This window comes from Homo sapiens, chromosome 1 (genome assembly GCF_000001405.40).
Source record: "Homo sapiens chromosome 1, GRCh38.p14 Primary Assembly".
In the NCBI taxonomy this organism is placed as follows: Eukaryota; Metazoa; Chordata; class Mammalia; order Primates; family Hominidae; genus Homo; species Homo sapiens.
The window spans coordinates 223,669,471-223,687,125 of NC_000001.11; the positions used below are offsets into that span (position 1 = coordinate 223,669,471).

The following is a 17,655-nucleotide window of genomic DNA, read 5'->3' on the forward strand; positions in this document are numbered from 1 at the left end:
CTCTCTCCTGGGCCTGACAGTTTCAGAATGCTAAGGCAAGCAGGGGTTGAATCCAGTGTCAAGAGGATTACAGAGTTCTCATACATTGCTGGTGGGAATGTAAAATGGTGCCGCTGTTTTGGAAAGCAGTCCAGCAGTTTCTCAAAATGCTAAACATAGAATTACACAGTAACTCTGAGTAACATCCCACTTCAAGGATTGAAAGAGAATTGAAAGCATATGTCTACACAAAAACGTGTACATAAATGCCCATAGGAGCATTATTCATAATAGCCAAAAAGTGGAAACAACCTAAATGCCCATCGATGGACAAATGGATAAACAAAATGTGGTATATGCATATGATGGAATATTATTCAGCCATAAAAGGAGTCCATAAAAGGAGCGAGATACTGTTACATGCTACAACATAGACGGATCTTAAAGACATGCAAAGTAAAAGAAGCGAATGACAAAAGGCCATACATTGTATAATTCCAGTTTTATGAAATGCCTAGAATTGCAAAGCCATAGGGAAAGAAAGCAGAGTCGTGGTTGCCAAGGATTGGGAAGTGGGGCTGACTCTAATAGTTACAAGGTTTCTTTTTTGGGGTGATGAAATTATTATGGAATGAGATGGTGGTGATAGTTGCACAACCAAAAGTCACATTTTAGGCCAGGCACAGTGGCTTACACCTGCAATCCCAGCACTTTGTCAAGCTGAGCTGGGAGCATCGCTTGAGCCCAGGAGGTTGAGGCTGCCGTGGGCTATGGTTGCACCACTGTACTCTCATCTGGATGAGCAAGCGAGACCTGTCTCAAATAAATAAATAAATATCACACTTTAAATGTACACTTTGGCGATGTTTATGTTATGTGAGTTATATCTCAATTTTAAAATTGAAAAGGAGAAAAAAAGGCATTACAGAGGGGAAGGCTGGCTATGATACAAGCATTGGTAGGTGGCCTCTAAGGAAGAGATTGGCTTCCCATCTGCCCAGGATATCAAGTGCCCAGCACATGCAAACAGTTCTAGAGCTGTAAGAGCAAACCCTACCTAACCAGAAGCCTGGATGAGTTGAGATGTGTGGGCTCATTCTCTCTCCAGGTCTGCAGGATCGCTCATGGCATCTTAGGGGTCACAGCTCAGGCCTTCATCCTGGCAGGAAAGGGCTCAGTCAAGGCCAGTTGGGAGGCCAGCTGAGACTGCCCCCTAGAGGCCTACAGATCCTGTTGACCTGGTATGACTAAGTAATGTGGCAAAAACTCACATTTGAATAGAATGCAAGGTCTACATAGCACTTTCCTGCCATGGCTGCTTAGAGATTCACGACAAGTCTGTAAGAAAGATCATATTGTCAGGCTACCCCAAGGTCACTCAAGTAGCAAACTTGAGCCCAAGTCTTCTGATTTTAATTCCCATGCTCTTTTTAAGGCACGCTACCCACACATACCAACAGGGAGATGCGACCTGGGCAGTAGGCTGTGAGATGTGATGCCTAAAAGGAAGAAATCCAATGACTCACTCAGCCCTCCAATCTGCAAGCCATCTCTGTGCCTCACTCAGATCTGCAAGCCTCACTCAGATCTGCAAGCCGTCTCTGTGCCAACACTCCACTGGGCAGGGGTCAATGCTCGTAGGAGGATAAAAGGACAAATAGAGGCCAGACGCATTTGTTCAGGCCTGCAATCCCAGCACTTTGGGAGGACAAGGCAGGCAGATGACTTGAGCCCAGCAGTTCCAGACCAGCCTGAGCAACGTGGTGAAACCCCATCTCTATAAAAATTTCAAAAAATTAGCCAGGCATGGTGGCAGGCACCTGTAATACCAGCTACTCAAGAGACTGAGGCAGAAGAATTGCTTGAACCCAGGAGGTGGAGGTTTCAGAGAGCTGAGATCGCGCCACTGCACTCTGGCCTAGGTGACAGAGCAAGACCTTGTCTCAAGAAAAAGAAAAAAGAAAAGAAAAGAAAAAATCGAAAGACAAATAGACACCATGCCTGCCCACAAAGAACTTCCATGCAGTGGAAAGACCAGGCAATGCTCAAAGAAAGAGTGGTTGATTCTGAGGATGATGAGTGATAAGGAGGGCTTCATGGAAGAGGTGGCCTTCCAGTTAGATCTGTAGGATAAGGTGCTTGAAGGATGATGATTTTGAAAGAAGGCAGTGTAAAAAGGGCATTGGAGTCAAGGGGAACAGCAAGAAAATGGCAAGAAGGAACAGCTCTGCACACAGTGCCAACAGAATATTAATTATCTAGAATGAGATCATTCTAGATCACTCACTCCTGGAGTGAGGCAGGAGGCAAACAACAAGAGGAAAAGACACTGGGGGCCTTGAATGCCATCCTAAATGGATGTGGACTTCTTCTCTATAGTTAGGGTGCAGTTGCTCTGAAACAAGCAAGAATCGATGATGGCTTAATTCAGGTAGTGGCACTGGGGCTGGGCAGGTAGGGAGAGGAGTTCCCAAGTTTACCTCCTCTGTGAGTCCCAGAGGCTGGGGATGAGTGTGGAGGAAGGGAAGACACAGCCAGGATACCTCTTGTGATCTTGTGATTTAATAAGAAATAAGTATTTTGGTCTTTGTCCTCAGTTCCTGGCACAAAGCTTCTAAAATCTTTGTAATTTCCTGGGTGATAAATGTGCTAGGAGCATCTTTTGTTGTAATATTTGGTCTTTGACTCTAGTTCCTGACAGAGCTCCTAAATCCCTGGAATTTCCTGGGAATAGAAGAGTCTTTTGTTCTAATAAGGTGACTCTTGTGGGCTCCTGAATGGGGGCTAGTCACAAGAAAGACCAAGCCATGATTAGAAGCTTGGAAAAAGCCAGGCAAGTTGCTTCACAACTGTAATCCCAGAACTTTGAGAGGCCAACGTAAAAGGATCGTTTCAGCCCAGGAGTTCAGCGCCAGCCTGGACAACACAGTGAGATGATATCTGTACTAAAAATAAAAAATAATAAACTAGCTGGACATAGTGGTACACACCTGTAGTCCCAGCTACTCAGGAAACCAAGGCAAGAGGATTGCTTGGGCCCAGGAGATTGAGGCTGTAGCGGGCCATGTTCATGCCACTGTACTCCAGCCTAGGCAACAGAGAGAGACCCTGTCTCAGAAACAAGAAAGAAAGAAAGAAAGAAAGAAAGAAAGAAAGAAAGAAAGAAAGAAAGAAAGAAAGAAAGAAAGAAAGGAGGGAGGGAGGGAGGGAGGGAGGGAGGGAGGGAGGGAGGGAGGAAGGGAGGGCTTGGAACTTTCAGCCCCACTCCCCATCTTCCAGGCAGGGGAGAGGAGCTGGTGACTAGGTTGATAATCCATCATGCCTATGAGATAAAGCCTCCATAAAAATTCCTGAGCTACAAAGACCTAACAACAGAGCTATCATTATATCTGGCAATCCCATTACTGGGTATATACCCAAAGGAATATAAATCATTCTGCCATAAAGATACATGCAAGCAAATGTTTCTTGCAGCACTATTCACAATAGCAAAGACATGGAATCAATCAAAATGCCCATCAATTACAAATTGGATAAAGAAAACGTGGTGCATATACACCCTGAAATACTATGCAGTCAAAAAAAGAACAAGACTATGTCTTTTACTGAAATGTGGATGGAGCTAGAGGCTATTGTCCTTAGCAAACTAATGCAAGAATACCAAATACCACATGTTCTCACTTGTAAGTGGGAGCTAAGTGATGAGAACTCATGAACACAAAGAAGGGAACAACAGACACTGGAGCCTACTTGCAGGTAGAGGGTGGGAGGAGGGAGAGGAACAAAAAAAGAATAACTATTTGGTACTAGGCTTAGTACTTGGGTGATGAAATAATCTGTACAACAAATCCCTATGACAGGAGCTTAGCTATATAACAAACTTGCTGTATTAGTCCATTCTCACACTGCTATAAAGAAATACCTAAAACTGAGTAATTTATAAAGAAAAGTTGTTTAATTGGCTTATGGTTCTGCAGGCTATACAGGCTTCTGCTTCTGAGGAGGCCTCAGAAAACTTACAGTCGTGGTGGAAGACAAAGGTGAAGCAAGCACATCTTACATGGTGGGAGCAGGAGGAAGTGTAGGGGAGGTGCTACACACTTTTAAGATAGCACTAGGGGGATGGTGCTAAACCATTAAACCACCCCCATGATCTGATCACCTCCCACCAGGCCCCTTCTCCAACACTGGGGATTACAAATTGACATGAGATTTGGACGAAGACACAAATCCAAACCATATTCTGTCCCTGGCCTATCCCAAACTTTGTGTCCTTCTCACATTGCAAAATACAATTATCCCATCTCAACAGTCCCCCAAGTTTTAACTCATTTCAGCATTAACTCGAAAGTCCAGTCCAAAGTCTCATCTGAGACAAGACAAGTCCCTTCCACCCATGAGCCTGTAAAATCAAAAACAAGTTAGTTACTTCCAAAATACAATAGGGGTATAGGCATTGGATAATTACTCCCTTTCCAGAAGGGAAAAATTGGCCAAAGCAAAGGAGCTATAGGCCCTATGCAGGTCCAAAACCCAGCAGGGCAGTCATTAAATCTTAAAGCTCTGAAATAATCTCCTTTGACTCTGTGTCTCACATCCAGACCACACTGGTGAAAGGGCTGGGCTCCCAAGGCCTTGGGCAGTTCTGTCCCTGTGGCTCTGCAGGGCTCAGCTCCCATGGCTGTTCTCAAGGGTGTTGAGTGCCTGTGGCTTTTCCAGGTGCACAGTGCAAGCTGTTGGTGGATCTACCATTCTGGGGTCTGGAGGATGGTGGTCTTCGTCTCACAGCCCCACTAGGCAGTGCCCCACTGGAAACTCTGCATGGGGGTTTCAACCCCACATTTCCCTTCTGCACTACCCTAGTAGAGGTTCTCCATGAGGGCTCCACTCCTGCAGCAGACTTCTGCCTAGACATTCGGCCATTTCCATACATCTTCTGAAATCTAGGCAGAGACTCCCAAGCCTTAACTCTTGTCCTCTGCACACCCACAGGCTTAATGCCATGTGGAGGCCACCAATACTTGCAGCTTGCACCCTCTGGAGCAGCTGCCTGAGGCATATCTGGAGCTTGAGCCGCCAGGACACAGGGAGCACTGTCCCGAGGTTGTGCAGGGCAGTGGGGCTCTGGGTCCAGACCACAAAACCATTCTTCTATCCTAGGCCTCTGGGCCTGTGAAGGGAGAGGCTGCCATGAAGTTTGCTGAAATGCCTTCCAGGCATTTTCCCCATTGTCTCAGCTATTAACATTCAGTTCCTCTTTACTTACGCAAATTTCTGCAGCTGGTTTGAATTCCTCTTCTGAAATTTTTTTTTTCTCTACCACATGGCCAGGCTGCAAATTTTCCAAACTTTTATGCTCTGCTTCCCTTTTAAATAAAAGTTCTAGTTTTAGATCATTTATTTCCTTATGCATGTGACTGTAGGTTCTTACAAGCAGCCAAGTCACATCTTGAATGTTTTGCTGCTTAGAAATTTCTCCCTCAAGATACCCTAAATCATCTCTCTCAAGTTCAAGTTCCACAAATGTCTAGAGCAGGGGCATAATGCTGCCAGTCTCTTTGCTAACACATAGGAAGAGTAACCTTACCCCAGTTTCCAATAAGCTCCATCTGAGAGGTCTCCATCTGAGACTTCCTCAGCCTGGACTTCATTGTCCATATCACTATCAGCATTTTGGCCACAACAATTCAACAAGTTTCTAGGAAGCTCCAAACTTTCCCTCATTTTCCTGTCTTCTTCTGAGCCCTCCAAACTCTTCCAACCTCTGCCTATTACCCAGTTTCAAAGTCATTTCCACATTTTCAAGTACCTTTATAGCAATGCTCCACTTCTCTGGTACCAATTTTTTTTATTAGTCCATTCTCACACTGCTATAAAGAAGTACCTGAAACTGGGTAATGTATAAAGAAAGGATGTTTCATTGTCTCACAGTTCTGTAGGCTGTATAGGCTTCTGCTTCTGTCAAGGCCTCAGGAAACTTACAATCACAGCAGAAGGCAAAGGGGAAGCAAGCACATCTTACATAGTGGGAGCAAGAGGAAGGAGGGGTGCCACACACTTTTAAAACAGCACTAGAGGGATGGTGCTAAACCATTAAACTGTTCCTATGATCCAGTCACCTCCCACCAGGCCCCTCCTCCAACACTGGCAATTCCAGTTCAACATGAGATTTGGGTGGGGACACAACTCCAAACCGCAGCACTTGCACATATACCCCTGAACCTAAAATAAAAGTTTAAAAAATAATAATAAAGAAAGAAATCTACACACACACACACACACACACACACACACAGAGAGAGAGAGAGAGAGAGAAAGAGAGAGAGAGAGAGAGAGAAAGAGAGAGAAAGGCAAGGTCACAGCTAAAAAAAAAAAAAAAATCCCTGAGCTACAGAATTCAGAGAGCTTCCAGGCTGCTGAACTCATGGAGGTGCTGGGAGGGTGGTGTGCCCAGAGAAGGCATGGAAGTTCTGCACCCCTTTCCCCATACCTTGCCTGTATTTGTCTGTTCTCATGCTGCTAATAAAGGCATATCTGAGACTGCATAATTTGTAAAGGAAAGAGGTTTAATGGACTCATAGTTCTACATGGCTGGGGAGGCCTCACAATCATGGCAGAAGAGCAAGGAACATCTTACATGGTGGCAGGCAAGAATAGGACATGTGCAGGGGAACTCCTCCTTATAAAACCATCAGATCTCATGAGACTTATTCACTATTAAGAGGATAGCATGGGAAAGACCCACCCTTATGATTCAGTTACCTCCCACAACATGTGGGAATTGTGGGAGTCACAATTCAAGATGAGATTTGAGTAGGGACACAGCCAAGACATGTCATTGCCCTGTGCATCTCTCCCATCTGGCTGTTCCTGAATTGCATCGTTTTATGATAAACCCATAACTTAGTAACTTTTCTCTTTGCTTTCTGTGAACTATTCTAGCAAATTAGTGAACATGAGGAGGAGGTCGTGGGAACCTCCAATTTGTAACCAAGTCAGACAGAAGTTGTGGGTGACCTGGGGACCCACCACTTATGATTGGGCTCTGAAGTGGGGATGGTCTTGTAGGACTGAGCCATTAACTTGTTCTAACTCCAGGCAATTAGTGTCAGAATTGAGTTAAATTGTAGGACACCCAGCTGGTGTTGGAAAATTGTTCAGTGTGGGGGAAAAACCCACACATCTGGTGTCAGAAGCGAAATGTGTTGTGAATAGAGGAAAACAGTGAGTGCTTCTTATATGCCTCTGAATGCTGGCATTTGACAGAGACCCTAACCTCATCTACCCCAGAAGCTGTAACAGTTCAGGACTCATATTTAGCGTAAATAGGGAGATATTTTGATTTCCTCTGAAAGAAAACTACTAGCTAGAAAAGGGACAGGCTGGGTGCAGTGGCTCATGCCTATAATCCCAGCACTTTGGGAGGCCAAGCCCAGGAGTTCAAGACCAGCCATGGCAACATGGCAAAACTGCTGTCTCTACAAAAAATAAGAAATTCACTGGGTGTGGTGGTACACACCTGTAGTCCCAGCTACTTGGGAAGCTGAGTTGGGAGGATTGCTTGAGCCCAGGAGGTCAAGACTGTAGTGAGCTATGATCATGCCCATAAATAGGCACTGCATTCCAGCCTAGGTGACAGAGTGAGACCCTGTCTCAAATAAATAAATAAATACAATACAATACAATACAATACAATACAATACAATACAATACAATACAATACAATAAAATACAATACAATAGAAAAGAGAGGGCATAAATGTGGAGAGTCCTCTGACCTAGTCTTAGAAAACAAGGCCATGAAGGTAGGAACTGTGTCTCTCTCAAGTTCATCGTGCAACCCTTCACAGAGCTCCACATGCAATATGGGGACTTACGAGTGTACTTTGAGGTTGTTCTTGCTGGGCATGTCACTATATCACATGCTTCCCTGACCTCAGTTCCTGCTGCCAAGCAGCCACAGATGCACCTGCATCAGTTTTCTCTGTCTCTACTGGATCGTTTTCTTTCCCATACAAGTTTGCTATAGTTTCTCCTGCCTTAAAAAAAGAAAATGTTTAATCTCTCTTGACTCCATGCCCCTGTCCTGTTTCTTCTTTTCTTTCTTTTTTTTTTTTTTTTACCTTGAGTCTTGCTCTATCACCCAGGCTGGAGTGCAGTGGCACGATCTCGGCTCACTGCAGCCTCTGCCCCCTGGGTTCCAGCGATTCTCCCGCCTCAGCCTCCTGAGTAGCTGGGATTACAGGCCCATGCCACCATGCCTGGCTAACTTTTGTATTTTTAGTAGAGACGGGGTTTTGCCATGTTGCCCAGGCTGGTCTCGAACTCCTGACCTCAGGTGATTCGCCCGCCTTGGCCTCCTAAAGTGCTGGGATTACAGATGTGAGCCACCATGCCGGGCCTCTTCCTTTCTTTTCACAACAAAATTTCATGAAAGTGGTGTGTATTCTCACTGTCCTTTCATTTCTGTCCTGCCTTTCTCTCTTACCATCCCTCTGGGCAGATGGTCAGGGTAAAACCATTGGCCAATATCCAGGTGGTCTTGATGTTGCTCAATCCAATGGTTAACTCTCAGTCCTCTTCTTAGTTGACCTGTAAGTAGCTGATTGGACTCAGGTCGATGCTCTTTCCACCTAGAAATAGAGAGGGGGATGAATTTCAGGAGGGATGTTTTTGAGTGGCCAAGAGGAAATCAAATCTAGAGCCCAAGGGGAGAGGTTGGCCTTAGGACACAGACAGTTCATCCCTTGTCACAGGGTAGATGGCAGACACAGTGTGAGGATAGATGTCACAGTTGGACCTTGGGAAGTTCTGTTTTCAGTGCTTTGACCTTTCTCTTGGAAATAGGAGTGAAGGGCATTAGCTGAGAGTGAGAATGGGGCAGAGGTGTTGGAGATTTGAGAGAGAGAGAGGAGGTATAAAGTAAGTGATCTGGCCGGGCATGGTGGCTCATGCCTGTAATCTCAGGACTTTGGGAGGCCAAGGCAGGTGGATCACCTGAGATCAAGAGTTTGAGACCAGCCTGACCAACATGGTGAAACCCCATCTCTACTAAAAATACAAAATTAGCCAGGCATGATAGTGCATACCTGTAATCCCAGCTACTTGGAGGGCTGAGGCAGGAGAATCACTTGAACCTGAGAGGTGGAGGTTGCAGTGAGCCAAGATCACACCATTGAACTCCAGCCTGGGCAACAAGAGCGAAACTCTGTCTCAAAAAAATTTTTAAATAAAATAAAATAAGTGATATTGAAAATTGGATAAGAGACATGATGCTGCCAGGTGGCATTAAGGGCCAGTTGAGTTAGTGACTATCAATTTAATGTAAGACAGATCAACACATATATTATTTATTTTTTGCAGATGACAAATTTTCCCAAATTCAGTGGTCTAGAACAGCATATATTTATTATCTTACCATTTCGGTGCATAGGGAATTTGGGAATTTAGCTGTATGGTTCTGACCTCTAAGACTTTCATGAGACACCGACTGCAGCTATAGTCAACTGATGGCTCAGCTGTGGTGGGAGGATCTCCTATCAGGATGGCTCACTCGCATGGCCATGGGCAGGAGGCCTCGGTTCTTCATTACGTAAGTCTCTCCTTAGGCTGTTTCAATGTTATCATGACACGGCAGCTGACTTCCTCCAGAACAAGTGATACAAAAATCAGAGAGGGAACTGCTTTTTACAATCTAGTCTCTGAAGTTGTCTACTCACTTCAGGTTTATTCTATTCATTAGAAGCAAATTGCTATGTCCAGCCCACTCTCAAAAGAGGAATTTACCTCCACCTCTTAAAGTAAGGAATACCAAATAATTTATGGGCATTTTTTTAACTACCATACCTTGATTGTGTGCTTTATTCCAGTCACACTGAGCTGTACAGGCACAGGTCAGGCATGGGGTAGATGGAAAGTTGGATTAAGTAAGTTATGAATATGTGAGAGCAAGAAATCTAAGAACCAGAGCCTTGATGGTGCCAGGCCTCCCAAAATCAGCAGGTGAATTCTGCTGAATGTCGGCTGCACATGGCTCCAGCAGGCTCAGCACCAGAACGGTGGGTCCTTACGCTGCTGCACGCCCATTAGCAAGCTTCAGCTCTGGTCACCTGTCTAATTCAGTCCTGCTGTCCGCTGGCCTCGTTGAACTACTCATTATTTTTTGTTTGTTTGTTTGGAATTGAAGTCTCACTCTGTCGCCCAGGCTGGAGTGCAGTGGCATGATCTCAGCTCACTGCAACCTCCACCTCCAGGGTTCATGTGATTCTCCTGCCTCAGCCTCCCAAGTAGCTGGGATTATAGGCGCCTGCCACCACGTCCAGCTAATTTTTGTATTTTTGGTAGAGACAAGGTTTCACAGTGTTGGTCAGGCTGATCTCGAACTCCTGACCTCAAGTGATCTGCCCACCTGGCTTCCAAAGTGCTGGGATTACAGGCGTGAACCACCGCATCCGGCTGATTACTCATTGTTTTTGCTCCGGCAAAACTTGGACTTCCCCATGGCCTATCATAGCCTCTCCAGCTCCAACTCTGTCTTATGACTTGCCTAATACAGCTCTCACAACTTACTAGCAAATAATCCCTTTGTGTTTCTCTGTCTAAATTGCCAAAAGAGAAAAATCTAATTGGCCCTGGTACCTTCTTAAGCCAGATCACACAGGTCCCATGTCACTGACCAAGCTAAGGGACTGGTTGCTGTGGCACATAACATCAATGCCCACACCCCTTGGAGCCCTGTATGTTTGCAAACTCACAAGCTCTGGTGTGCTTGCAACCCCAGCAGCTAGCCCCTGACTTCCTTGGCCAGAGGGCTGTACCTCTCTCAGCCTATCAGAGCCACCTTGCCAGAAGTGGCTCTCTAACTGGGGACATATGCCCCCTGGGGTGCTTGGTAACATGCTGGAGCACCAACATGATGTTTTCTTGGACTATTCATTCTATTGAAAGTTTTTTTTTTTTTTGAAAGAGGAATTCTTAACTTTTTTTTTCTTTTTTCTTTCTTTTTTTTTTTTTTTTTGAGATGGAGTCCCACTCTGTCACCCAGGCTGGAGTGTAGTGGCACGATCCTGGCTCACTACATCCTCCACCTCCCAGGTTCAAGCGATTCTCCCATTTCAGCCTCCCAATAGCTGGGATTACAGGCACCCGCCACCACGCCTGCCTAATTTTTGTATTTTTAGTAGAGATTGGGGGGGTTCACCGTATTGTTCAGGCTGATCTCGAACTCCTGAGCTAAAGTGATCTGCTTGCCTTGGCCTCCCAAAGTCCTGGGATTATAGGTGTGAACCACTGCACTCGGCCAATTTTTAATATTTTTAATAAGAATTATATACGGGAAGCTGCCAGGCTCTAATTTCAAGGAGTGCATATTAGCTCTTCTCCATGTAAAGGGTCTTTCTCTTTTCCCTGTTTAGTGGAGAAATTTTGAATGTGGAAAATATAACATATGCATACAAATATATGAAATAAAACTCATGAAAAAAAGAAAATATATACACGAAGATCAGAATAGTGGTCTCTTTCACCCTGAAGAGTGGGAAACGAAGTGAGGAAGGAGCATATAGAGAGACGTAAGTTTTAAGTAATTTTTTAGTTCTCGGGTGGGGTGGTGGATACATAGGAATTCATCATACTTTTTGTTTTGTTTTTGAGACAGTCTCAGTGTTGCCTAGGCTGGAGTGCGGTGGTATGATCGTGGCTCACTGCAGCCTTGACCTCTTGAGCTCAACTGATCCTCCCATCTCAGCCTCCCACGTAGCTGGGACCACAGGCACACATCACCATGCCTGGCTAATTTTTTGTATTTTTTGTATTTTTTGTAGAGATGGGGCTCTCCCTATGTTGCCCAAGCTGATCTCAAACTCGTGGGCTCAAGCAATCCTCTCACCTTGGCCTCCCAGAGAGCTGGAAATACAGGCATGAGCTACTGTGCCCAGTTCGTCATACTACTAATAATAACTTAAAGAAATTAAAGAAAGCCATGTGCTGGCCAGGCACGGTGGCTCACACCTGTAATCCCCGTACTTTGGGAGGCCAAGGCAGGCGGATCATGAGGTCAAGAGATTAAGACCATCCTGGCTAACATGGTGAAAGCCTATCTCTAGTAAAAATACAAAATTAGCCAGACATGGTGGTGTGTGCCTGTAATCCCAGCTACTCGGGAGGCTGAGGCAGGAGAATCGCTTGAACCTGGGAGGCGGAGGTTGCGGTGAACTGAGATTGCACCACCGCACTCCAGCCTGGTGACAGAGTGATACTCTGTCTCAAAAAAAAAAAAAAGAAAAGAAAAGAAAAGTAAAGTAAAGAAAGCCATGTGTTGACTAATAATAATGAGAGTATTATGAATCAAGGATTACAATTAATCCAATTTTGAACATGGACAGTAAAAAAAGAAATCCCCACAGCAGGTAGAGAGGGAGATATTTACGAGTTAAGAATCCTGCCCAGGGAGCCTCAAATCTAACAAGCCTGTTCCCACAGCAGGCCTGGCAGTGAAATCAGCTGGGAAGGTGGTATCCACAGCCCCTCAGTCACTCTCCCTTGCAGTTAGGGTCTAGGCTGCACTTGGAAAGAGCCTCATCTCCCGTCCCCAGCTCCCCAGTCACTAGTCCAAAGAGAACACTGAGTTCTCCACTGGGTTTTCAAAGGAAAGGCAAAGGAGGATAAAACATTAACAGGTCCTTGTTAGTATAGGTTCTTGTTAGACTTTCAATTTACAAGGAATTTTAGAGAAATGCCTCAAGCTGAACCTGTAATAGCCAGGTGGGAACTTGGGCAGATGGTAGCAATTTCTCAAGGTTCGTCCCAAAACACTGCTGCAGATCCTTCCCATGGTCACTGTTTAAACACATGTCCTGTCCAGTCTTTCTTGTAACCATCCCTTGAGTCATTTCTTTCCTCTCCATCCCCACAGCCATGACTTAAGTACAATTCTTTATTCCTTCTAGCCTGCAGCACAACAATAGCCTTCCAAATCTCTCAAATCCCTCCAATCTCCACAGTCTGATCCTGTCACTTAAGGTACTTCAATGCTCCTCACCTTGCCTTAAAGATGATAGCCCAACTCCTTGGTACAGCACTGTGACCCTCAGCGTCTGGGTGTCCCAGCCCTGTCACCGTCACAACCCTGTCTGCCCATATCTCCTCCATGCAGAACTAACATTGGAAACACCCCCCAAACTCACAATGCCTTTTCACACCTCTATGCTCTTTCTGGCTGCAAGGACAGTCACTCTGGTCTCTCCCTGCTTAGGCATGACTCACCTTTCTAGATTAAGTTCAAATATCACTCCTCCAGAATGTCTCTCAAGGTAAAGGCTAGCCCATGCATCTCACTGAATTGTAAGGTTGGCTTCTCCGTTCCATATCTTCCCCACTACTCCCATTAAAGTTGAAATTCCTTGCATGCAGGGACTGTATTTTTCATCCTTATGTCTCTATTCCCTTTATCTCAAATTTCTTTTTTTTTTTTTTTTTTTTTTTGAGATGCAGTCTCGCTCCATCTCCCAAGTTGGAGTGCAGTGGCATGGCACAATCTCGGCTCACTGCAACCTCCACCTCCCGGGTTTGAGCGATTCTCCTACCTCAGCCTCCTAGGTAGGGATTACAGGTGCACACCACCACACTCAGCTAATTTTCGTATTTTTAGTAGAAATGGGTTTTCACCATGTGGGCAAGTCTCGTCTCAAACTCCTGACCTCAGGTCATCCACCCGCTTGTGCCTCCCAAAGTGCTAGGATTATAGGCATGAGCCACTGCACCCAGCCTATCTCAAATTTCTTTCTGTGACTTAGAACCTGGCACATAATATGAGTTCAATACATGCTTGATGAATTAATAATTAGCTAAATATATAAGTCATATTCAAACTTTGTATTTCACACTCTTGGACTGGTAAGAGACAGAGTATAGTTAAGCCCGTGATGAGTATAATTGTATGAATTAAAGTACACATGTATACTGAGGGCTCATTTCACGTGTGAGTCTCTGAAAATGTTTGCGACTACAACTTAAACCAAGACAACCTAAGGATTTCGAGAAGCAGTAAGAGTATCCAGAGAAAATAGTAACTTAGATGCAGCCAATACAAGCTCAAGACTGAGAGTCTGCAAATCTAGATTCCAGCCTCTGCTCTGCCACATTCTTGAGTGACCTGGAGAAGTCACTTTAACCCTGGGTCTTCCTGTGCTCATCTGACACAGAGGGCATGGGAGCCTGGAGCCCAGCCCTCCTGTGCACCCTGTCTAGCTACACTTCTCTGGAGGCGAAAGGCTGCTGGGCATTGAACACAGCTATCAGCCTGGGAGCTGGGCCGAGCCTCACCAGGGAATAGTGAGGGGCTCCCTGCTCCGACAGCACACAGGTGCACACACACGCCTGCTCATCAGGTCCCCGGCTGACCCCTTTACACACACCATCTCCTGCTTCTGCAACAATGCCGTGCAATAGCAACTATCACCAGCCACATTCTACAGGTGAGAAAGCTGAGCTTCATCCACAGTTCCTCAGTAGCAGGAGTAGGATTGGAACCCAAGTGTGTTAGCTAAAAGCCCACACATTTATCCAAGATACCATATTGACACTGTTTAAAGTGACAAACGATCACTTTATGTAGAATGCACCCAGGGAGTTGAACTGATGGAGTCTGCATTCTTGTCACAGAGTCCACTCTCCCCTCCACATCTCCCCCTTAGCCCCAACACAGGACTGCTGGGTTCCTCTGCTAGTCCCAGGTGAGATACTCTCTCACCTTCCAGCAGCAGGTAACAAGGACCAGGAGGCACCAGAGACAAACCCAGCTCCTCACTGCAGCCAGCAAGGGAATATGGCCTCTCAGAGCAGCTGGGATTCTAGCCAGCTGAAATTAAACTGCGCAGCGACAGCAGTCAGAGGTAACTCATGTTAAAGGTATCAGTGATGGCTCCAGCAACTGGTGGTCTCTGCTGCCCCCTAGATGTCTGTTTCCTCCAACAGGCCTCAGATTAATTTAAAACCAAGTGCTTGGTGTAATATTGCATAGTAACACTCTTTTCCTGCTTCATCAATCATGCATTTATCCTACCTTTCCTGTGTGGACTGTAAGTAGTTGGCAAGGCAATGCTCTTCTTAAGAATTGCAGCAAATAGGAGAACAAGTGATAGAGGAGTCACCGTCTGGCAACCCTTAATGACATAATGAGTCTAGGTAGCCATCACCAATGGATGCTAACACAATTAGATGAAAGGCGAATGGAGAACTTTATAATAGATGGATCTGACTGAAACACCTAAGCCCACTTATCAATCTGTGCATCTATGCATGGGACATTATTGCCTTCTCATATAATACGGTGTACAATATAGGTTCATCTGTGAAGACCTCTGTCCACCCCCCAAAAAATAAACTGAATCCAATCAAACCTCTAGATTTTACTGCCAGTTTAGAGAAAATAAGAGGTTAGTCAGGGTTTCTTAGCCTCTGCATTATTGACATTTTGGATAACCACCAAAAGGATAGTAAAAACCAGTCTAATGGTGAAATGAAATAATAAAAAATAGTTAATCCAAAAGAAAGGAAAAAAAAAAAGGAGAGGAAGGAAAACATAGACTTGATGGGACAAACAAAAAGCAAAAAGAAGAAAGTAGGTTTAGATGCAAACATATTAGTAATTCCATTAAATCTAAATGATTGCATTAAAAAAATTCTCAGCCTAGTTAAAAGCAACAAAGGGACATAGCTTAACTATAAAGATATAGAAAAGTTAAAAATAAAAGTACAGAAAGAAATGCATGCAAACACCAAAAGAAAGATGATATAGCTATATAATATCAGAAAAAGAACACCCTGAGGCAAGAAGCATTATTAGCGATAAAGAGAAACATTTCATAATCATGAAAGATCAATTCACTGGGAAGATGTAGTAAAACTGTATACTTATAACAACATAGCCACGAAATATGTACAATAAAAATTGGCAAGACAAAAAGGAAAATATGCAATCTTAATATGAGATATTAATACAATACTCTTAGTAACGGATAGAACAAGCAGACAAAAATACCAATAAGGATATAGAAGATTTGAATAACACAATTAACAAACTTAGCCTCCTTAGCATATGTAGAATACTGCACCAAACAGCAGCAAAGTCCGTGTTCTTTTCAAATGCACATGGAGTATTTACCAAAATTGGCCACCACACACCCCACAGTCCTGGTGGCATGGGCACATTTTGTGCATAGTTGATTGATATGGGAGACTGTACCTGACCCAACATGGGTCAATGAGTTTTTTCCCTAGATTTTTGGACTTGAATCTGATGGTTGAAGCTGTGAAAAATAAAGTTTGGGCACTTTTCCTCCCACCTTGAAAAGGGGATCCCAATGTTATCTGAGTCTCTGTTTAGGTTATTCCTGAGGCATGCGTATTCTACCTTGGTTTTACAATGACATTCCAGAATCTTTAGCATGCATTTACTTTGGACTTTTTTTTACCGTGATAAAATATATATAACATAAAATGTACTAGGTTTAGCATTTAAGTGTACAGTGCAGTGGCACTAAGTACATTCGCATTGTTATGCAACCATCACACCATCCATCTCCAAAACCGCAGGTTTCATCTTTTCATCTTCCAAGACTGCAGCTTTATCTCCATTGAGCACCAACTCCACATTTCCCACTCCTTGTATCCTCTAGCAACCATCATTCTACTCCTAGACTACTTTGTGACTCAGTTTCTCTGTCACTTAAGAGAAGAGAGGCTCCATTGCTGACTGCAGGGATTGCTTCTGTATATGCAGGCCTTCTTGCATCTATAGGATTAGGTTTACTGCAGGGAAAAAAGGTAAGAGAAATATACATCATATGGGTTTTTGGAGGAAGAAAAGAGGCGACAGCACAAAATGGATGAGGTTTTCGTGTTGGGTGTCCTGCACACAGGACTCAGCAGCCCTGCCATGTATCTATCTGCCCAACTCTTTCCCATGGAGTTCATCTTGTGGGCCACTTCCAAATTATAGATCCACAGGCAAGTTTCACAGCTCTGTCGCTGTCACCTGTGGCAAGCTTCTCATAGTGCCTCTGTGGCTTAATGTCATGAGCCCCTCCATTGTGAGCATTCTGTTTAGGGTCCTGCACCATCACAGCCTGGCAATGAGCTTCAGATGTTTTGCCATAACCTTAGATTTAAGTCATCAAGCAGCAGGACCAAGACCTATCATGCATTTACTTTTGTTTTTGGCTTAATTTGAGTTGGTTTTTTTCCTTGTACAAAAAGAATCTCTGTACACAGACTCCTATTAATTTTTTTAATTAATAGTTTTATTTTTCAGAGCAGTTTTAGCTTTACAAAAAATTGAGAAGAAAGTAAGATGTTCACACACACACAGCTTCCCAATTATTAATGTCTCACACTAGTGAGGTACATTTGTTAAAATCGATGAACCTATGTTGACATGTCATTATCACTGTAGTTTACTTTAGGGTTCCCTCTTAGTATGGTATATTTTATGGGTTTTGACAAATATATGATAATATGTATCCACCATTATAGTATCAGACAGAGTATTTTCACTGCCCTAAAAATCCTCTGTGCTTTGCCTGTTCATCTACCCCTCACCAAACACCCAGAAATCTTTTTTTTTTACTGTCTCCATTGCTCTGCCTTTTCCAGAATGTCATATATTTGGAATTATAT

The 17,655-nt window shown here is 44.2% G+C and overlaps 1 long non-coding RNA gene across 3 annotated transcripts in view; it reads right to left on the reverse strand.

Annotated features, from left to right (window-relative positions):
• Positions 1 to 8,347: 8,347 nt before the first annotated feature.
• The window catches only part of LOC105373281 (uncharacterized), a 29,833-nt gene continuing 20,525 nt past the window's right edge, over positions 8,348 to 17,655 (reverse strand). For all 3 annotated transcript variants that reach the window (XR_949164.2, XR_949165.2, XR_949166.2), the window contains exon 3: positions 8,348 to 8,612. This is a non-coding gene — a long non-coding RNA (uncharacterized LOC105373281). The remainder of the gene's footprint in view (positions 8,613 to 17,655) is intronic.